The 21,415-nt window shown below is 57.8% G+C and overlaps 1 protein-coding gene and 1 non-coding gene across 5 annotated transcripts, besides 5 other annotated features; one reads left to right on the top strand and one right to left on the bottom strand.

The window, feature by feature from the left end:
• Positions 1,341-1,680: a silencer, noted in NCBI's record as "silent region_9627". NCBI's record gives its function as "represses an Ori minimal core promoter by ATAC-STARR-seq in GM12878 lymphoblastoid cells {active_cell/tissue: GM12878}" and the evidence as "EXISTENCE:reporter gene assay evidence [ECO:0000049][PMID:35858748]".
• R3HDM4 (R3H domain containing 4) lies at positions 1,498-18,214 on the top strand. Of its 4 annotated transcripts, none has more exons than NM_138774.4 (8): positions 1,498-1,630; positions 12,587-12,741; positions 13,171-13,295; positions 13,765-13,888; positions 14,571-14,656; positions 15,031-15,116; positions 15,222-15,277; positions 17,177-18,214. In NM_138774.4, exons 1-8 carry the CDS (start codon positions 1,560-1,562, stop codon positions 17,278-17,280), a joined length of 807 nt encoding a protein of 268 aa, NP_620129.2. In that variant the 5' UTR covers positions 1,498-1,559; the 3' UTR covers positions 17,281-18,214. The 4 variants fall into 4 exon arrangements, with proteins under 4 accessions (NP_620129.2, XP_011526718.1, XP_047295615.1 ...); XM_011528416.3 differs by having other exon boundaries at positions 17,164-17,267; XM_024451771.2 differs by lacking the exon at positions 1,498-1,630 and adding an exon at positions 12,317-12,475.
• Positions 5,154-5,448: an enhancer, noted in NCBI's record as "tiled region #9324; HepG2 Activating DNase unmatched - State 5:Enh". NCBI's record gives its function as "activates a minimal TATA promoter and a strong SV40 promoter by Sharpr-MPRA in HepG2 cells {active_cell/tissue: HepG2}" and the evidence as "EXISTENCE:reporter gene assay evidence [ECO:0000049][PMID:27701403]".
• Positions 9,900-10,658: an enhancer, noted in NCBI's record as "H3K4me1 hESC enhancer chr19:904059-904817 (GRCh37/hg19 assembly coordinates)". NCBI's record gives its function as "activates a minimal SCP1, AML or CMV promoter by ChIP-STARR-seq in naive H9 embryonic stem cells {active_cell/tissue: H9 hESC(naive)}" and the evidence as "EXISTENCE:reporter gene assay evidence [ECO:0000049][PMID:30033119]".
• Positions 15,741-15,941: a silencer, noted in NCBI's record as "peak3217 fragment used in MPRA reporter construct". NCBI's record gives its function as "represses an SCP1 promoter by STARR-seq MPRAs in K562 erythroleukemia cells {active_cell/tissue: K562}" and the evidence as "EXISTENCE:reporter gene assay evidence [ECO:0000049][PMID:32103011]".
• A 2,912-nt stretch (positions 18,215-21,126) lies between the features above and the next one.
• RNU6-9 (RNA, U6 small nuclear 9) lies at positions 21,127-21,233 on the bottom strand. The gene has a single exon (NR_104080.1). It is a non-coding gene; the product is annotated as an RNA, U6 small nuclear 9 (small nuclear RNA).
• Positions 21,253-21,402: an enhancer, noted in NCBI's record as "active region_13573". NCBI's record gives its function as "activates an Ori minimal core promoter by ATAC-STARR-seq in GM12878 lymphoblastoid cells {active_cell/tissue: GM12878}" and the evidence as "EXISTENCE:reporter gene assay evidence [ECO:0000049][PMID:35858748]".

The following is a 21,415-nucleotide window of genomic DNA, read 5'->3' as shown; positions in this document are numbered from 1 at the left end:
GGTTTCACCGTGTTAGCCAGGATGGTCACAATCTCCTGACCTCATGATCCACCCGCCTCGGCCTCCCAGAGTGCTGGGATTACAGGCGTGAGCCACTGTGCCTGGCTATTTTTTTTTTTTTTTTTTTTTTTTTTGAGACAGAGTAGTCTTACTCTGTGGCCCAGGCTGGAGTGAAGTGGACGGCTCCCTGCAACTTTTGCCTCCCATGTTCAAGCGATTCTTGTGCCTCAGCCTCCCATGTAGCTGGGACTATGGGTGCATACCACCACGCCCGGCTAATTTTTGTAGTTTTAGTAGAGATAGGGTTTTGCCATGTTGGCCAGGCTGGTCTCAAACTCCTGACCTCAAGTGATCCACTGGCCTTGGCCTCTCAAAGTGCTGGTATTACAGGTGCGAGCCACCGTGCCCAGCCTCCCTCTTGCTTTATTTTATTTTATTTTATTTTTTTGAGATGGAGTCTCGCTCCTCGCCCAGACTGGAGTGCAGTGGCACGATCTCGGCTCACTGCAAGCTCCGCCTCCCGGGTTCACGCCATTCTCCTGCCTCAGCCTCCCGAGTAGCTGGGACTACAGGCCCCCGCCACCACGCCCGGCTAATTTTTTGTATTTTTAGTAGAGAGGGGGTTTCACTGTGTTAGCCAGGATGGTCTCGATCTCCTGTCCTCGTGATCCGCCCACCTCGGCCTCCCAAAGTGCTGGGATTACAGGTGTGAGCCACCGCGCCCGGCCCTTTCTTTTTATTTTAGAGATGGGTTTTCATCATGTTGCCCAAGCTAGTCTCAGACACCTGGACTCAAGTGATCCACTGGCCTTGGCTTCCCAAAGTGCTGGGATTACAGGCGTGAGCCACCACGTTGGCCACCAGGCCTAATTTTAGAGAAGAGTAAACTGAGGCTAAGCAGGGGAAGGGGTTGCCTAGCCGAGGCTCCAGGGCTGGGAGGGGCAGGTGGAAGGAAGGCTCGGGCAGTTTTAATTTCCGCCATCCTCTGCCTCCAAGAAGAACGTCCCCTCCCTCGTCGATGCTCAGGCCTTAGTTTCCCTGTCCGTGTCTCCTCGCCTCCCTGGGCTGGATTCCTGGCTCAGTCCGCAGCCCGGATCGGGACGCAGGGTTGTGGTTGAGTTTTCGACCCCTCGCCTAGGTGTCCCTCCTTCCCGGAGCTAGATTTCTGGGTGTAGGGATCGTGGCCGGCCCCGCCTCCCGCCTCAGTCTCCCCGTTCGTCCCCCCAGGGGCTGGATCCCGGCCCCGCCTGCCTCGGTTTCCCCGTTCGTTCCCTGATGGCTGGATCCCGGCCCCGCCTGCCTCGGTTTCCCCGTTCGTTCCCTGTTGGCTGGATCCCCGCCCCGCGCGCCTCGGTTTCCCCGTTCGTCCCCCCAGGGGCTGGATCCCCTCCCCGCGCGCCTGGGTTTCCGCGTTCGTTCCCGGCAGCCGGGAGGTGGGCGCCCCCGCCCCGCCGCGCAGCCCCAGGCCCCGCCCCTGCCCGCCTCCGGGCGCCCGTCACTTCCTGCCCGGCCCGGTGAAGGCCCTGCCGGGCGGCGGCGGCGGCGACAGCGTGCGAGCCATGGTCGCGCTGGAGAACCCCGAGTGCGGCCCGGAGGCGGCGGAGGGCACCCCGGGCGGGCGGCGGCTGCTGTGAGCGCGGGCGGGCGGGGCGCGGCGGGCGCCGGGGGCGGGCTGGGCTCCCTCCCCTGAGATCCTCTCCCCGCCTCCCCTCCCCTCCTTTCCCTTCCCTCCCCTCGTTCCCTTCGTTCCCCTCGCTCCCGTTGCTCATCTTCCGGGGCTTCAGCCTGTCCTGCCTTCCCTTCTCGCCCGCTGTGGACCCCCAGGCTGGGTGGGGGGTCTTCATTGTTACTCAGCGGGGACACCCTCCTGGCGCTCCGGGGGCTCGCTGGGGGAGGGGACCCGGATCCACGTCCCCATTTACCTGTTCCGCCCCCTACTCCCCGGTCCGCCCCCTAATCCCCGGTCCGCGCCCCACTCCCCGGTCCGCCCCCCCACTGCACTGGTCCGCGCCTCCATTCCCGGGTCCACCCCCTCACTCTCCGGGTCCGCCCCCCAACTCCTCGGTCCGTGCCCCCACTCTCCGGTCCGCGCCCCCACTTCCCGGGTCCGACTCCCCCCACTCCCGGGTCCGCGCCCCCCCACTGCCCTGATCCACGCCCCCACTCCTGGGTCCGTCCCCCCACTCCCTGCTCCACCCCCCCACTCCCCTGGTTCTTGCCCCCATTCCTGGGTCCGCCCCGCAACTCCTCGGGTCAGCCCCCCAACTCCTCGGTTCCACCCCCCAACTCCCTGGTCCGTGCCCCTACTCTCTGGTCTTCGCCCCCACTCCCGGGTCCGCGCCCCCACTCCCGGGCCCGCCCCCCAACTCCTCTGTCCGACCCCCCCACTGCCCTGGCCCACGCCCCGACTCCCGGGTCTGTCCCCCCACTCCCCAGTCCGCCCCCCAACTCCCTGGTCCACCCCCCCCACCTCCCCGGGGCCGCGCCCCCACTCCCGGGTCTGTCCCCCCACTCCCCGGTCAGTCCCCCAACTCCCTGGTCCGCCCCCCACACTCCCGGGTCCGTCCCCCCACCTCCCCAGTCCGCCCCCCAACTCCCTGGTCCACCCCCCCCCCCACCTCCCCGGGGCCGCGCCCCCACTCCCGGGTCTGCCCCCCCACTCCCCGGGCCCCGAGGTGCCAGCCATGGAGCCTCCCGCCAGAGGGTCCTGGGCCCCTGTCCGCGGGTCGGGGTTCACCCACGTGGCCATGCGCTCCAGCCTGGTCCCTGCCGCACGCCCGGCCCCACTCGCCCTCTGGGCTTGTCCGCGCCCCCTGCCTTTCCGGGCAGACCCGGCTCCTTGCTCTCCTTTGGGTAAATCCCTACAACCCTTGTGGGTTAAAACCTGGCAAGCAGGAGCCCGCGCGTCCTTCCCGGGGGACCCGGAAGCGGGGCGGTCTGTGCGGGGGTCAGCCGTGTGTCACCCCGGCCCGCACAGGGACCCGGGGACCCAGGGTGCGCCCCTGGGGTCCGTGTTGGTGGAGGGCGAGGAGGCGGCGCGTGTTCCGTTCCTGCCTCCTCCGTGTGCGGACGGCGCCACCTGGGCAGGTTATTTCATGCTTCCATGCCTCAGTTTCCCCTTCTGTAAAATGGGATAGTAAGTGTGGCCTCTTCTCCGAGTGGTGGGGGTTACCGAGCTGGCACTGCGGCGGGCCCAGCAAACAGGAGTGTCCGTTGTCTCATTACTAATTATCGTTAATGTTTTATTGGTTATTTTAGTAGTATTAATATTTTGAGACGGAGTCTCGCTCTATCGCCCAGGCTGGAGTGCAGTGGCACGATCTTCATTCACTGCAACCTCCACCTCCTGGGTTCAAGCGATTCTCCTGCGGCAGCCTCCCCAGTACCTGGGATTACAGGCGCCCGCCACCACGTTCAGCTAATTGTTGTATTTTTAGTAGAGATGGGGTTTCATCATGTTGGCCAGGATGGTCTTGATTTCCTGACCTCACGATCTGCTTGCCTCGGCCTCCCAAAGTGCTGGGATTACAGGCGTGAGCCACCGCACCCGGTCTTTAGTATTATTTGTATTTATTTATTTATTTGTTTATTTTTTTGAGACAGAGTCTCACTCTGTCGTCCAGGCTGGAGTGCAGTGGGGCGATCTCGGCTCACTGCAAGCTCCGCCTCCTGGGTTCACGCCATTCTCCTGCCTCAGCCTCCCGAGTAGCTGGGACTACAGGTGCCCGCCACCGCGCCCGGCTAATTTTTTTGTATTTTTAGTAGAGACGGGGGTTTTGCCGTGTGAGCCAGGATGGTCTCGATCTCTTGACCTTGTGATCTGCCCGCCTTGGCCTCCCAAAGTGCTGGGATTACAGGCGTGAGCCACCGCGCCGGCTAGTATTATTTTTAAATGATCATTTATTACTATCATCGTTATTATGTTTATTATATCATCACTATTATCTCCACTCAGAGGCCATACCCATCTCTACCGAGGTGATTTGTATCTGAAGGAGAAAGGATGCGTCTTTGATTGGTTGATTGGTTAATTGATTGGAGACAGAGTCTCGGTCTATTGGCCAGGCTGGAGCAGAGGATGCTTTTTTTTTGTTTTTGTTTTTGTTTTTCATATTAGAGACAGGGTCTTGCTAACTTGTCCAAGCTGGTCTCAAACTTCTGGGCTCAAGCCATCCTGCCTCCTCGGCCTCCCAAAGTGTTGGGATTACAGGCGTGAGCTACCACGCCCGGCCTAGTAGTAGTATTATTAATACAGGGTCTCACTCTATCACCCAGGTTTGATCACAGCTCACTGCATCCTCCACCTGCGGGCTCAGGCGATCCTCCTGCCCCAGCCTCCCGAGTAGCTAGGACCACAGGTGTGCACCACCATGCCGGCTATTTTTTTTTTTTTGAGATGGTTTCGCTCTTGTTGCCCAGGCTGGAGTACAGTAGTGCGATCTCGGCTCACTGCAACCTCTGCCTCCCAGGTTCAAGCGATTCTCCTCCCTCAGCCTCCTGAGTAGCTGGGATTACAGGCATGTGCCACCGCACCCAGCTAATTTTGTATTTTTAGTAGAAACGGAGTTTCTCCATATTGGTCAGGCTGGTCTCGAACTCCCAACCTCAGGTGATCCACCGGCCTTGGCCTCCCAAAGTGCTGGGATTACAGGCATGAGCCACTGCGCCCGGCCTGGCTAATTTTTTAATTTGTTGTAGAGACGAGGGTCTTACTATGTTGCCTAGGCTGGTCTCGAACTCCTCGACTCAAGGAATCCACCTGCCTTGGGCTCACAAAGTGCTGGGATTACAGGCGTGAGCCACTGCACCCACGTAACGTCTCCTCTAAGGGGGCCTTGAACCACCTGGTGTGGGCATTTACCCTCAAAATGGGCTCTTCTTCCTGAGTCTTCTGTTTTTTTTGTTTTTGGTGGGGGTTGGGGGGACAGGTTCTTGCTCTGTCACCCAGGCTGGAGTGCAGTGGCGCGATCTCAGCTCATGGTAACCTTTGCCTCCCAGGTTCAAGCGATTCTCCTGCCTCAGCCTCCTGAGTAGCTGGGATTACAGGCATGTGCCACCACGCCTGGCTAATTTTTGTAATTTTAGTAGAGACGGGGTTTCACTATGTTGGTCAGGCTGGTCTCAAACTCCTGACCTCAGGTGATCCACCTGCCTCGGCCTCCCAAAGTGCTGGGATTGCAGGCGTGAACCACCACGCCTGGCACCCTGGTCTTGAAGCCCAGGTGTAGTGACTCCTATGTAACTATGTAAATACACTCATGTTTCCGCTCTCAGCCGTCAGTCTCTGGGTGTTTACCTGCCAGCTGTGTCCTGGTGGGGGGTTGGGGACTGCTGGGGGCCGCCGCAGTCTGCCCCACCCCAGGCTGAGTCACCTCCGCCCTGAGCCCTGGCTTCCTGATGCACAAGTCGGTTCCTCTCTTGCTGTCTCTAGTGGGTTCCTGGGGGAGGGACCAGTGCTGGGAAAGGTGTGTTTTTGCTCGAGGGACTGAGGGTTCACAGTTCCCCTCTCAAAATCTGCAAGGAGTAGAATTGGGAGTGGCCGGGAGGCCTGTTCCCCCAAACTCCAGCAGCTCCCCAGCTTGGGCTGCCCCCCTCTTCTGTGGACACACATCCTCGAGCCTTCAGGGTCCAGGAAGCCTCAGATACCCCCGCTGGGTCCTCAGTTTCCTCGTCTGTAAAGTGGTCTTGTTGAGTGGCGTGGGAAACAGATGAACCAGCCCTTGGGAGGTGTGTCAACAGAAGTTTAGTTCTTCATTCAACAAACAGGCAGTGAGCGCCGCTGTGGGCCGGTCACAGGCCAGGACCGGGGGGCGGCGGTGGGCGGGGGGCGGACCCTGTCTTGTTCTGTGGGCCTAGTGAGCTAGTGATTAAGGAGCAAAGAAGTAAACGGGCCGGCTGGGGCCGGTTGGTTTCCAGAGCTTCCTGGTAAGGCTGACTGGGCTAGGTGGGGGGCGGGGCCGTTCCTGGGGGTGGTGAACACAGAGCTGAGGCTGGAATGAGCAGGTGCATCAGGCAGAGACCGGGGCTCCCTGAGTTTGGAGCACTGTGAGGAGGGGCCTGTGGCTGGACGTGGGATTTTTTTATTTTTTATTTTATTTTTATTTTTTTTGAGACAGTCTCATTCTGTCACCCAGCCTGGAGTGCAGTGTTGTGATCTCGGCTCACTGCAGACTTCATCTCCCAGGTTCAAGTGATTCTCCTGCCTCAGCCTCCTGAGTAGCTGGGACCACAGGCGCCCACCACTATGCCCAGATAATTTTTTTGTATTTTTAGTAGAGACGGGAGTTTCACCATGTTGGCCAGGCTGGTCTCGAACTCTTGGCCTCAAGTGATCCACCTGCCTCAGCCTCCCAAAGTGCTGGGATTAGAAGTGTGAACCACTGCGCCCGGCCAGGCATGGGGATTTTGATGTGGTCTTCCTGTTCCTTCCATTTCTGGAGAGGAGTGTCGGTGACTCCCAGGCCCCCCTGTCTACCCCAGAGGCCAGATGTTTTTTTGTTTTTGTTTTTGTTTTTGTTTTTTTGGGAGACAGAGTCTTGCTGTGTCACTCAGGCTGGAGTGCAGTGGTGCGATCTCAGCTCACTGCAACCTCCACTTCCCAGGTCCAAGCGATTCTCCTGCCTCAGCCTCCCAAGTAGCTGGGACTACAGGCGTGCGCCACCACTCCTGGCTAATTTTTGTATTTTTGTAGAGACAGGGTTTTACCATGTTGGCCAGGATGGTCTCCATCTCTTGACCTCATGATCCGCCCGCCTCGGCCTCCCAAAGTGCTGGGATGACAAGCTTGAAGATGTTTCTTAATTTCCTGCTGGAAACTGGTTGAAGTCAGCCAGCTCCATCTGATGGTGGGACTCGATTTCCAGTGCTCAGCTCAGCACTAGAGACCCAGGGGAGGGTGGCGAGCCCTCAGATACCAAACAAAACAGGCGAAAGCCCTCGTGTTGCAGTGCTAGGCCAAGGGGGAGCCAGGCCTGGCCCTGGGATGCTGGGGAGCCATGGGCTGTGCTGGAGCAGGGGAAGGACCAGGCAGGTCCTTGTGGGCCTGGAGGAGAGGCCTGTGGGGCTTTGGTATGAGGGGTGGTGAGGGAAGCAGGGTAGCTCTGGGGTTCTGGGTCAGACCCAGGTTCACATCCAGCTCCTTGCATTGTCTGGGTGGTGACGGGGGACAGCCCCACCTCTCCAAGCCTCAGATCCTTCATCTGTAATATGGGGTGATACCAGGCCCCTTGCTGGGAGGGCTTGAGCTGTGTCACCGAGCCCCGCCCCCTCTGACTTCCCCGAGGGCTCCCCTCGGATGTCACTTCTGTTATCGGCCCTGTCCAGCTGCTGGGGTGGAGAAGTAGGCCCCGGGGCCTCAGGGGGGGCTGTGGGTGAATCTGGGGCATGGGACAGAGTGCTCCGGCCTCAGGGAGGCAGCTTCAGGCTGATCCAGCTTCAGAGACGCTGGCTTAACATGACCCTGTATTCCCACTGAGTACCCGTCGGCTGCTGTGCTCTGTGCTGAGGGCATGGTCCACCACCTCCTTCTCCAGCTGCCCTCTTTGCAGCAATGGGAGCTTGGGCGGTGACTTTGTGCCTTGGTTTACAAATCTGTATAATGAGGGCCGGGCGTGGTAGCTCATGCCTGTAATCCCAGCACTTTGGGAGGCTGAGGCAGGCGGATCACTTAAGGTCAGGAGTTCAAGACCAGCCTGCCAACATGGTGAAACCCCGTCTCTACTGAAAATACAAAAATTAACCAGGCGTGGTGGTGGGCGCCTATAATCCCAGCTACTCGGGAGGCTGAGGCAGGAGACTCGGTTGAGCCAGGGAGGTGGAGGTTGCAGTGAGCAGAGATGGCACAACTGCACTGCAGCCTGGGCAACAGAGTGAGACTCCATCTCAAAACAAAACAAAACAAAACAAAAAAACCCCAAATCTGTATAATGGGCATCAAAGTAATAGAACTTGCCTCCCCGGGGACAGCACAGGTGACAGGAAATGAGCCCAATGTGGGGAAAATACTCAGTCCAGCGACACTTACGATCAAAAGCAGTGTGGCATGGCTGAGGGGTGAGTTCCCCATCATAGGAGGAAAACAAGCAAGTGGCAGCTGAGATGAGGGGAATTCATCCCAGGCCCTTTTGGCTCTGAGTACCCCTCCCAAACCAACTTGTTCCCACTTTTTGAGAGGGGGCTGAGGTTAAAGGTTGCAGGGTGAGCCGGGCGCGGTGGCTCATGCCCGTAATCCCAGCACTTTGGGAGGCCAAGGTGAGCGGATCACGAGGTCAGGAGATCCAGACCATTCTGGCTGACACGGTAAACCCCATCTCTACTAAAAATACAAAAAATTAGCCAGGCGTGGTGGCGGGCACCTGTAGTCCCAGCTACTCGGGAGGCTGAGGCAGGAGAATGGCGTGAACCCGGGAGGCAGAGCTTGCAGTGAGCTGAGATCGAGCCAGTGAACTCCAGCCTGGGCGACAGAGCGAGACTCTGTCTCAAAAAAAAAAAAAAAAATCCCATCTCTACTAAAAATAAATAAAAAATTAGCCAGGCGTGGTGGCGGGCGCCTGTATACCCAGCTACTCCGGAGGCTGAGGCAGGAGAATCACTTGAACCTGGGAGGCAGAGGTTGCAGTGAGCGGAGATCGCACCACTGCGCTCCAGCCTGGGTGACAGAGTGAGACTCTGTCTCAAAAAAAAAAAGGGGGTTTCAGGGTGAAGCTTCGTAGCTGGGGTTCACACCCTGGGCTGAGATTCCAGGACCTGCCCTGCTAACGCCGCAGCCTGGCGAGGAGGCAGTTTCGGAGTTGCCAGGCTTGCCTGGGCCATTGAGTTCTGAGCACCTGGTCCAGGGTGGAAGCTTGACCCGTGCCTCTGCCTGCAGGTCCCTATTGGTGGGTGCTTGTGCATATGTGAGATTTTTGTTCTGATGACTTTTCATAGATTTTTGCCGCAGTCTGTGGAGACTGTGCTGTTTATCTGCCCGTCCCCTTCCTGCTTCAGGCAGCCCTGGGTCTCCTCACCTTGCTTACTTTTTTTTTTTTTTTTTTGAGACAGAGTCTTGCTCTGTCGCCCAGGCTGGAGTGCAGTGGCGCGATCTTGGCTCACTGCAACCTCCACCTCCCAGGTTCAAGTGATTCTCCTGCCTCAGCCTCCCGAGTAGCTAGGATTACAGGTGCATGCCACCATGCCTGGCTAATTGTTTTGTTTTGTTTTTTTTTTTTTTTTTGAGACAGAGTTTCACTCTTGTTGCCCAGGCTGGAGTGCAACGGCATGATCTTGGCTCACCGCAACCTCCGTCTCCTGGGTTCAAGCAATTCTCCTGCCTCAGCCTCTCAAATAGCTGGGATTACAGGCATGCGTCACCATGCCTGGCTAATTTTTGTATTTTTAGTAGAGACTAAACATGGGGGTGTCTCCATGTTGGTCAGGATGGTCTCGAACTCCCGACCTCAGGAGATCCTCAGCTTCCCAAAGTGTTGGGATTACAGGCATAAGCCACTGCGCCCAGCGTACTTTTTTTTTTTGAGGCCAAGTCTCGCTCTGTTCACCAGGCTGGAGTGCAGTGGCACAATCTTGGCTCACTGCAACCTCTGCTTCCCAGGTTCAAGCAATTCTCCTGCCTCAGCCTCCTGTGTAACTGGAATTACAGGTGCATGCCACCACGCCCGGCTTATTTTTTGTATTTTTAGTAGAGACGGGGTTTCACCATGTTGGCCAGGGTGGTCTTGAACTCCTGACCTCAAGTGATCCACCTACCTTGGCCTCCCAAAGTGCTGGGAACACAGGTGTGAGCCACCACGCCCGGCCAATCAGCTTGTTTACTTTTGATTGAGATGTAACAGCTGGTCTGTAAAGTGCACAGACTTAAGGCTTGAGGACTCTTTACATGTGTGTGGACCCTGGAGAGCATTGCCCTCATTTCTGACCCCCTTGACTGCATTTTTTTTTTCTTTTTTAAGACAGAGTCTTGGTCTGTCACCCAGGCTGGAGTGCAGTGGTACGATCTCATCTCACTGCAGCCTCCACCTTCTGGGCTCAAGTGATCCTCCCTCCTCAGCCTCCTGAGCAGCGGGGACCGTGATGTTGCCCAGGCTGATCTTGAACTCCTGGCCTCAAGCTGTCCTTCCTCCTCACCTTCCCAAAGCTCTGGGATTACAGGCATGAGCCACCGCGCCCAGCTTGCCTCGAGTGAATCTTGTCTCAACTGGCCTAGAGTTTCCTAGCGTTTTCCAGTCTTTTGGGGGTTGCAGGGGTGGAGTGGGTTGCTTTTAATTTTTGTGTTGGGAACTCTGGATGCTATTAGGGATTTTCGACTGTGGGCTCTCTTGGAATCACAGAATTTTTATTGAGGATTGATTTGGTGGTTATTTTTCTGAGCGTCTCCTGTGAACGAGGCTTGGCTGTGAGTGCCGGCGGTGGGGGTTACAGCCAGCCAGCAAACCCGAGCCGCCTGTGCGAAGGTCCGAGGCGGGACGGGAAATCGTGTCTTGGAAGCAGCAGCGGCCAGGAGGTGCCACTGTGGGGTTGGAGCAGAATGTGTTTCAGGTGGGGTGGAGTTAGGAGATAAGGGTGGAGCCGATCCTGGTACCCCCAGACCCTGGAGGCCATGGTCAGCCCTGTGGTGTGGGGGTTTGTGAGCCCAGTGGAGCTAGCATTACGGTTTTTTGTTTGTTTGGCTTTTGAGACAGAGTCTCGCTCTGTCGTCCAGGCTGGAGCGCAGTGGCACGATCTCGGCTCACTGCAAGCTCTGCCTCCCCGGTTCACACCATTCTCCTGCCTCAGCCTCCCGAGTAGCTGGGATTACAGGTGCCCACCACCACGCCCGGCTAATTTTTTTGTATTTTTAGTGGAGACGGGGTTTCACCGTGTTAGCCGGGATGGTCTCAATCTCCTGACCTCATGATCCGCCCGCCTCGGCCTCCCAAAGTGCTGGGATGACAGGCGTGAGCCACCGCGCCCGTCCTGTTTGTTTTGAGACACGGTCTTGCTCTTGTTGTCCAGGCTGGAGCGCGCGGTATTGCAGTCACAGCTCACCGCAGCCTCAAACTCCCCAGGCTCAAGGGATCCACCCACCTTGGGCTCCCAAAGTGCTGGGATTACATGAGCTCCCACGCCCAGTTTGTGTGGTTTTTCCTTGCCAGAAAAGTCCCCATCCATGAGGCCCCCCCTCACCGGCCCGCTTCCCAGGTGCCGGGTGGCTGCGGTGCGCGCCTACCTCCCCCCAAACGCCGCCCGCTTCCCGGGTGCCCGGTGGCTGCGGTGCGCGCTTACCCCCACCCTGTCCAACCACCCGCTTCCCAGGCGGCTGCCTATTCCCCCCACACTGAGTGGCTCGGCCCTTGGATTCTCGGTGGGAGGCCCAGCTGTGACAGCTAATCCATCTCCACAATTAATGCCATTTGCTCCGGCCAGGCCGATTAGCTCTGGAGGGGGGCCGCTGCAGCCGCACTCTCCTCCTGGCCCTGGGGACAGGGGACATTAAGGGGGGGGTTTGCGGGGGGGGCTGAGGCATCACCTTGAGCTTCTGGGGCTGTTTTCTGGCTCCTCTGCTGCTGGGAGTGGGGGATGTGGATAAAATCAAGTTTCTTGACTCTCCATTTCTGAAGGAAGCTGTTCACGTCCCAAAGGCTGTGGGCCTTGCTGGCTTACAGCTAACACCTTGAACACTGGGGTTGGGGGTGGGCGGCAGCTTTTCTTGGTCATTCACCTGCTGTGTGACTTTGGGCAAGTGTCTTCACTTCTCTGAGCCTCGGTTTACTAATCTATCATCACAGTTTTTTGTTTTTTTTTGAGACAAGGTCTCACTCCGTCGCCCAGGCTGGAGTGCGGTGGCACAATCTCAGCTCACTGGAGCATCTGCCTCCCGGGTTCAAGCGATTCTCTCACTTCAGCCTCCTGAGTAAGCTGAGATTACAGGCGCACGCCACCACGCCTGATTAATTTTTGTATTTTTTTTGGTAGAGACAGGGTTTCACCCTGTTGGCCAGGCTGGTCTTCAACCCCTGACCTCAAGTGATCCACCCACCTTGGCCTCCCAACGTGCTGGGATTACAGGCATGAATCAATGTGCCTGACCTAATTTTTTTTATTTTTTTTGGACACAGTCTTGCTCTGTTGCCCAGGCTGGAGTGCAGTGGTGCCATCATGCCAACCTCGACCTCCTGGACTTAAGTGATCCTCCTGCCTCAGGCCCCTGAGTAGCTGGGACTACAGGCATGTACCAGCACACCGGTTAATTTTTTAATTATTATTTTTTTTTGTAGAGACAAAAAAATAAGTCTTTTTTTTTTTTCATAGTCTTGCTATGTTGCTCAGGCTGGTCTTGAACCCCTGAGCTCAAGTGATCCACCGGCCTCAGCCTCCCACAATGCTGGGATCACCGGCATGAGCCACCACACCCAGCCCGTCTTCACAATTGTATCTGCTTCCTGTGATGTGAGGATGAAACAAAATAGGATTTTAAGGGCCCAGGACTTCACACACCGTAGGGGTGAGCTCTCCATTGCTGGGGGAAACCAAGCGGGCCATGGCTGTGGTAGGGCCCTTCTCGGAGATCCTGGCCGGCCTTGACCCTGAGGACCACCCCTGCCCCGGCCCACAGGCCCCTTCCCAGCTGCCTGCCTGCCCTAGCCAGCTCCCAGGTGAAGAGACTCTCGGCTTCCAGGCGGAAACAGCACTTCATCAACCAGGCAGTGCGGAACTCAGACCTCGTGCCCAAGGCCAAGGGGCGGAAGAGCCTCCAGCGCCTGGAGAACAGTGAGCAGGGGTCGGGAGGCGCCTCCTGGGGGCTCCTGGGCCTTGTAGAATGGCATGCATATTGGTGTTATCTGTTACCCCTCCCATGAGCTGTGCCTGGGTGGGGCTGGGGACCCAAAGAGGTGTCAGCTGTAGGCCGGGGGACCATATAAATAGAGCCAGACACAGGCGCCCCCTGGACTCTTGGATCAGGGCTGGGTGGGAGGGCGCCCCGGGCATTGGAGCTGGGGCTTTAAAGGATATATAGGAGTTCGACAATCCAGAACCTGGGGTCTAGGTGGTCTCTGTACCTTCTGGGGAAGACAGTTGGAGCATGGAGGTGCGGAGGTTGAGATGATAAAAAAGGAGGAAGGCTAGTTCTTGGGTCCCCATGGTGCCTGGGGGTCCCCAAATGCCACCCCGGCCCAGAGAGCATCTGTTTCCACCTAGCCCAGTACCTCCTGACCCTGCTGGAGACAGACGGGGGCCTGCCTGGCCTGGAGGATGGGGACTTGGCACCCCCTGCATCACCAGGCATCTTTGCCGAGGCCTGCAACAACGCCACCTATGTGGAGGTGTGGCCCCCAACCCCCTCACTCCCTCCACACGGGGACCCCGGCAGTTCTCCTACGGCCAGGCCATCGCCTGTGCCCGTCCCCCGCCAGAAGCACCCGCCCACTTCTGATCTCCTAATGAAGGCCCCTCAGTCTCCTTCGGGGTCCCCAGACCAGGCCAGAATCCCCACCCCACCCCTGGAACCTTCGAGCTCCTGGATTCACCTGCCCAACACGTTTGGGAACCCTCCAACGATTGCAGGAGTGTTTCACCTCAATCCCCCCCACCCCGAGACAGCTGGGCCCACCCCGGTTCCCCGCTTCCCTGCGCTCAGCTCAGGGCCCGACACAAGCAGCGGCCCCTCAGTGGACAGAGGTGACCGCAGGAGCGCGTCCACGTGCTTGGCGGCCTTACCGTGCCCATTTGCCCGGGGATGTCAGCGCAGCCCCAGTGTTTCATGGCAAGCCTGCCTCCCTGCCTCTCTTCCAGGTCTGGAACGATTTCATGAACCGCTCCGGGGAGGAGCAGGAGCGGGTTCTTCGCTACCTGGAGGATGAGGGCAGGAGCAAGGCGCGGAGGAGGGGCCCTGGCCGTGGGGAGGACCGGAGGAGAGGTGCGGGCCTGGCTGGGGCGGGTATGGGTGGGGCCAGGGTATGGATGGGGGCGTGGCCTGGGGTGGGTGGGGCCGGGATGGGGGGGCAGGATATGGATGGGGTGTGGGCGGGACCTGGAGTGGGTTGGACCTAGTATGTTGGGCCCAGGTATGGATGGGGGATGGGGGCGAGGCCTGGGGTGGGTGGGGCCGCGATGGGGGGCAGGATATGGATGGGGTGTGGGCGGGACCTGGAGTGGGTTGGACCTAGTGTGTGGGTGAGGCCAGGGTATGGATGGGGACAGGGCAATGGGGTGTGTGGGGCCAGGATGGGGTAGGTAGGATATGGATGGGGCGGGACATGGAGTGGATGTGGCCAGCATGTGGGGGCAGGATCTGGATGGCAGTGGGTAGGGGTGGGGCTAGCTGGCTTGTGTGGGCCTGGAGTGGGTGGGGCCTCATGTCTAGCTGGGGTGAACATACAGGTGAGGGTAGGGTCAGCTGGATGGGTTGGGGTCAGGGCCTCGTGGGGGTAGGGTCTGCTGGCTGGATGGGGCCACAGTATCGTTGAAGGTGTGGTTTGGTGGGCAGGAGAGGCCAAGGCACAGATGGGCGTGGTCTTCCCTGGGTGGGCGTGGTCTGGCAGGTGGGCAGGGCCAGGACGAGCACCCCAAGACTGCCCCTTGTTCCCCCACTCCTGCAGAGGACCCCGCCTATACACCCCGCGAGTGCTTCCAGCGCATCAGCCGGCGTCTGCGAGCCGTCCTCAAGCGCAGCCGCATCCCCATGGTGAGTGGGGGATTGCCGGGCCTCCCTTTTCTACCTGCCTGGTCTTTTTTGAAGGCCCGTTTCCCAGGCACAGGTTCTCACCCGGTGCAGGTCGTGTCAGGGGAAACAGGGCAGGATACAGACAGCGGCACCAGGGCCCTGAGTAGGAGGGCGGGGGCAACGAAGGCGGGCACTGCAGGGTGTGTAGGAGTTTCCTCCACGGAAGGCACAGGCAGGAGGTGGCATGGTGGCCTCAGAGACACTTAAGCAGCCTCACGTGGTGGGTCAGAGGTCATGTTTGAGCCCAGCGCTGTGGGCTCCTGGGGGCCCTGGACCTCCCTGGCCCCCCACCCACAGGTCCCGCAGTTCCCTGACCACCGGGCCGCTCTCCCCAGGAAACGCTGGAGACCTGGGAGGAGCGGCTGCTTCGGTTCTTCTCCGTGTCCCCCCAGGCCGTGTACACAGCAATGCTAGACAACAGGTAAGGGGGGGCGGCCAGGCGAGCGGACCCTCCGAGGCTGCGGCCAGGTGGGCGGACACCCCACGCTGCAGCCCCTGCACGGCGCTCACTGCCCGTTCCCCACAGCTTCGAGAGGCTTCTGCTGCACGCTGTCTGCCAGTACATGGACCTCATCTCGGCCAGTAAGTGCCGGTGGCCCCCAAGACCCCAAGTTGGCCAGCTCAACCTGGGAAAGTGGCCAGGGTCCCAGGGGCCTGGTTCCTCAGAGTGGGGCTTGGTGGGGAGGTGGGGAAGGGGGCTGGAGTGGGGACGCTACGAACTCAGGGGTGGCAGTGGGACCCTGCCTTGAATTCACCAGAAGCTCCCTGCATATGCGGCCCCACGCAGGGTGACCGCAGACACAACCAGGCTGCTGGACACAGACACTCCTCCATCTGCATCTTCGGGGCCCGGGGTGGGGGTGATGAAGCCTGGATTTGAGGGACCTCCCAGAGCCAGAGATAAGATGGGGGGACGCAGTGTCTGGAAGGTTTGCATTTAACTCTAAGGCCTCCCACATACCACACGTGGGACCTCAGGCGAGACCCCCTACTGGCCCCTGCGCTCCACTTTTCCAACGGGGCGCAGTCTCAGAACTCACCCCCGTAGTGAACGTCTGTGCAGGCGCCGCCGGCCCCAGGCACCCCATCTGGTCCTGAGCCTCTCACACCTGTCTCTGCCGCCCCGCCTGGAGTTGCCGAGGTGACAGTTTCCATGGCAACCGGACGATGCCTCCCTCTGTTCCCTCTGTGGGAGACGCAGCCCCCATGCCTGCCTCTGCTCAGAACATCCGGCCTTGGCTGGGGGTGCGGGGCTTGGAGCTTGGTGGGTGTGGAGCTGTGGTCCTGACACGGAAGAGGAGGGGTCCCAGCAAGATGGGGAGTAGAGGACGGGGGGGTCCCAGGCAGAGGGGACTGCTGAGGCGCGGAGCTCACATGGGACGTGGCTCTTTTTTTTTGTTTTGGTTGGTTAGGTTTGGTTTTTTTGAGACAGTCTCATTCTGCCACCCAGGCTGGAGTGCAGTGGCGTAATCTTTACTCACTGCAACCTCCACCTCCGGGTTCAAGCGATTCTCCTGCCTCAGCCTCCCGAGTAGCTGGGATCCCAGGTGCCGGCCAGCACGCCCGGCTAATTTTGTATTTTTAGTAGAGACGGGTTTCTTTTTTTTTTTTTTTTTTGAGACCAAGTCTCGCTCTGTCACCCATGCTGGAGTGCAGTGGCGCGATCTCAGCTCACTGCAAGCTCCACCTCCCGGGTTCACGCCATTCTCCTGCCTCAGCCTCCCGAGTAGCTGGGACTACAGGTGCCCGCCACCACGCCCTGCTAATTTTTTGTATATATATATATATATATTTTTTTTTTTAGTAGAGACAGGGTTTCACTGTGTTAGCCAGGATGGTCTCAACCTGACCTCGTGATCCGCTTGCCTCAGCCTCCCAAAGTGCTGGCATTACAGGCTTAAGCCACCGCGCCCAGCCCTAGAGACAGGGTTTCACCATGTTGGTCAGGCTGGTCTCGACCTCCTGACCTCAGATGATCCTCCTGCCTTGGCCTCCCAGAGTGCTGGGATTACAGGCATGAGCCACTGCGCCTGGCCAGGTCATTCATTTTTCTGCAGTGAGGGGGAGATGGGGAAGGGGAGGCCGGTGGGAGCTGGACCACTCAGGACCTGGGTGCCTCAGAGCCACCTCTGCAGGGCAGGGAGCCTGAGGGGAGGCCGGACACTCCGCCAGGCAGGCGTGTGAGTGGCCATGCGGCCTCAGGCCCAGTGCGTTTCAGGGTCCCCATCCGCACAGTGGAATGAGTGCCAGCGGGGAGTGAGATGGGCCCGAGGAGAGTGCTCCTGTAGGGAGCCTTAGGTATTCTTGTGAGCCAGGCTCCCGGACCTGCGGGCTTAGGGCCAGCCAGGCCGCAGTGACCAGCACACACCAGCTGGCGGTGACCTCCCTGGGAAGAAGCGAGGGTGGTGCAGGTCCGAGGCACCTCTACCTGCCGCGGCTCCCAAATTCCTCCCGTTCTTGCCCCGCTGGTCCCGTCTGCAGGTGCTGACCTGGAGGGGAAGCGGCAGATGAAGGTCAGTAATCGGCACCTGGATTTCCTGCCGCCGGGGCTGCTCCTGTCCGCCTACCTGGAGCAGCACAGCTGATGGCGGCCCCGCGGAGACCCCGCTGCCACCTCGCCCAGCCATCAAGCCCTCCGATACCTTCGGCTAAAATATCTTTCATATTTTTAGAATTTGTCCTCGGAAACCTTTTTCGCTTGGGGTGGTCTCTCTCACTCTGCCCCCTCCTCACGCAGCTCTTGGCAGTCAACAGACGCTGGCGGCTGGGGCTGCCCATGCCATCCCAGCTCCAAGCTTCCCACTCCGGGACTTGTGTTTGGGTGGGGAGACCTGACCTGGGCATGTTCCTGTTTCTTCATCGTTGAGCTTTTCTGGCCCGGTCTGAAGCTCAAGTGAGGAGGGGGAGGCTGGGTTTTTATCACTTTTAATGAATTTGGTGTGATTTGTTGTAGATTTTTAAATTTCCCTTTTGGAGAGAAAAACCAAAAAAACTCGCCCCACTGGTAAAACATGGGTCTTGGTCCCAGCCCCTGCTCAGCCCCTCCCAGTTTTTAGCTTGAATGAGGGTGGGGTCTCTGGGACCCTGCCCCTCATGCCAGAAGCATCTTGTGTTGTATATGTGTGCGCGCGTGTGCCCTGAGACCCAGGACAGAAGCCACGGTCCTAAGAGCCGGTTTTATCCTCGTCATTCTGCGTGTCCTCCCCCACGCCACCTGTGTCGGGGCTCAGGGTCTCCTGCTTTATATGAGCCCCCTTCCTTTCCTCCCCTCCTTTATGCTGGGGGTCCAGGACTTCCAGCCAGAAGCCTCTGCCCTTGCACTACCTTGTCTGTCACCCCATCCCGTGTCCCCTCGTCCCCCAGCCTGACTCCTGCCTGATAGCTCCTGTGTCCCCATGCTGGTCCTCCTGGCCCAGGCTGCAGGAGCCAGGCTGGGGGGCCTCCGCACCCCCTTGCTGCGTGTGGGTAATTGTGTTTTGGGGGAAAGTGGGGAATTTAATAAATTTCTGGTGCTCTGGCCTCGGGCTATGTGTGTTTTTCTTCGGGGCAGGGCCGGGGGCTTAGTAGGTCCTGGCCACCAAGGGCTGCAGGTGCCCCCCTGGCTCCTCTGCCCTTGGTTGCCTGGATTCAAACCCTGGCTCTGCCACATGCCTGCCGTGTGACCTTGGGTGAGGAGCTTGTAGGAGTGCCTTGGGGCCCCTGTAGACCTTGAGTGAGTGGCTTGTACGAGTGCCTTGGGGCCCCTGTAATGGAGGGTCTCACACAGGGGGCTTGAAACGACAGAAGGCCAGTGCAGTAGCTCATGCCTGTGATCCCAGCACCTTGGGAGGCCAAGGCAGGAGGATCGCTTGAGCCCAGGAGTTTGAAACCAACCAGGGCAACATAGCAAGACCTTGTCTCTACAAAACATGAGAGAAATTAGCAGGGTTGGCTGGGCATGGTGGCTGCTCACACCTGTAATCCCAGCACTTTGGGGATGCCAAAGCGGGTGGATCACAAGGTCAGGAGTTCAAGACCAGCCTGACCAACATGGAGAAACCCCATCTCTACTAAAAATACAAAATTAACCGAGTGTGGTGGTGCATGCCTGTAATGCCAGCTACTCAGGAGGCTGAGGCAGGAGAATTGCTTGAACCCAGGTGGTAGAGGCTGCAGTGAGCTGAGATCGCACCTTTGCACTCCAGCCTGGGCAACAAGAGCAAAACTCTGTCACACACACAAAAATTAGCAGGGTGTGGTGTGCGCCTGTAGTCCCAGCTACTTGGGAGGCTGAGGTGGGAGGATCACTTGAGCCTGCAGTGAGCTGAGACCGTGCCACTGCACTTCAGCCTGGGTATGGAGGAAGACCCTAGGTCAAAGAGAAGCAAAAGGGAAATCTATCCTCTCACAATGCTGGAGGTAGAAGAATGAGGTCATGGTGTCTGCAGGGCAGTGCTCCCTCCAGCGTCTCTAGGGGAGGAGCCTTCCTGCCTTTCCCGGTTTCTGGGGACTTCGTGTGTCCATGGCTTGTGGCCACATTGCTGTGGTCTCATCTCCAAGTGGCCGTTTTCCCTGTGTGTTATGTCTTGTCTTGACATCGTCCTCTCCTCACGTGTCTGTGCCCAAATATCCATCTCTATGATGCCCGTCATTAGGTTAGGCCCATGCTAATCACCTCCTTTTAACCTGATTACCTCTGCAAAGACCCTGTTTCTAAATAAGGTCACATTCTGAGGTAGTGGGAGTTAGGAATTCAACCTCTCTTTTTTTTTTTTTTTTTTTTTTAGACAGGGTCTGGCTCTGTTGCCCTGGCTGGAGTGCAGAGGTACAATCCCAGCTCACTGCAGCCTTGACCTCCCAGACTGAAGTGATCCTCCCACTTTTGCCTCCTGAGTAACTGGGCCTACAGGTGTGCATCACCCCACCCAGCTATTTTATTTATTTATTTATTTATTTTGAGACAGAGTCTTGCTCTGTCCCCCAGGCTGGAGTGCAGTGGCGCGATCTCAGCTCACTGCAACCTCCACCTCTTGGGTTCAAGTGATTCTCCTGCCTCAACCTCTAGAGTAGCTAGGACTACAGGCATGTGTCACCATGCCCAGCTAATATTTTTGTATTTTTAGTAGAGATGTGGTTTCAACATGTTGGCCAGGCTAGTCTCGAACTCCTGTTCTCAGGTGATCTGCGTGCCTCAGCCTCCCAAAGTTCAGGGATTACAGGCCTGAACCACCTTGCCCAGCGCCCCTCCCTCCCCAACCCTGCTAATTTTTAATTTTTTTTTGTAGAGACGGGGTCTGGCTATGTTTCCCAGGCTGGTCTCAAACTCAAGCTGTCCTCAGACCTTGGCCTCCCAAAGTACTGGGATTACAGGTGTGTGCCACCACACCCGGGCCGCTAAGAACGTTAAATCCCTACCTGCTGCCTGGGAATGGGGATTTTCTGTAAGGTCACTGCGTGGCCCTCTTGGAGAACTGAACCCTGATCCAGAAAAAACACTCTGATATTTGGGCCATTGTTAACCTGTAATTTTAGAACAGTTTTATATTTGCAGAATTCTTGCAAAAATCATGCAGTGAGGCCGCGGTGGCTCACGCCTATAATCCCAGCACTTTGGGAGGCCGGGGTGGAAGGAGGGCTTGAGGCCTGGAGTTTGAAATCAGCCTGGGCAACATAGTGAGACCCCATCGCTATTAAAATTTTGAAAAAACAGGCTGGGCGCGGTGGCTCACGCCTGTAATCCCAGCACTTTGGGAGGCTGAGGCAGGCAGATCACCAGGTCAAGAGACTGAGACCATCCTGGCCAACATGGTGAAACTCCGTCTCTACTAAAAATACAAGAATTTGTTGGGCATGGTGGTGCGCGCCTGTAGTCCCAGCTACTCGGGAGGCTGAGGCAGGAGAATCGCTTGAGCCTGGAAGGCGGAGGTTGCAGTGAGCTGAGATCGCGCTACTGCACTCCAGCCTGGGCCACAGAGCGAGACCCTGTCTCAAAAAAAATAAAAATAAAAATAGAAGAGCACCACATCCATTGCATTAAACTGGCTTTTGGAGGAGGAGGTGGGAATAGGGTTGGAAGTAGGAATACTCAACGGGGTCGGTGACTTCGCTTACAGTTTCCCCACTCTTGGACATTAGAAAATGGAAGAAAGGCCGGGCGCGGTGGCTCACACCTGTAATCCCAGTACTCTGGGAGGCCGAGGCGGGCGGATCAGGAGGTCAGTAGATAGAGACCACCCTGGCCAACATGGCGAAACCCCGTCTCTACCAAAATACAAAAATTAGCCGGGCGTGGTGGCGCATGTTTATAATCCCAGCTACTCGGGAGGCTGAGGCAGGAGAATCGCTTCAACCCGGGAGGCGGAGGTTGCAACAAGCTAAGATCGCGCCATTGCATTCCAGCCTGGGCAACAGAGCAAGATTCCGTTTCTGGGAGGGAAAATGGAAAAAAAAAAAAAAATATGGAACGCTTCACGAATTTGCGTGTCATCCTTGCGCAGGGGCCATGCTAATCTTCTCTGTATCGTTCCAATTTTAGTATATGTGCTGCCGAAGCGAGCACGAATATTGAGTTCCACCACCAGCTATTTAAAGCCCCTGGAACAAATGTCTGTACACATAGGCCGACTTCTCTTAAATGACCTAGAGATTTAACCTCTATTTATATTAGCCCAATGTGTAATGCAACTAACGTAGTTATTGACTGGAGTTGAGAAAGTGCTCGTTGTTCTACCAAATATAGCT

The sequence above is a fragment of the Homo sapiens genome, chromosome 19 (assembly GCF_000001405.40).
Source record: "Homo sapiens chromosome 19, GRCh38.p14 Primary Assembly".
NCBI lineage: Eukaryota > Metazoa > Chordata > Mammalia > Primates > Hominidae > Homo > Homo sapiens.
This window is presented reverse-complemented; position numbering and strand designations above follow the sequence as displayed.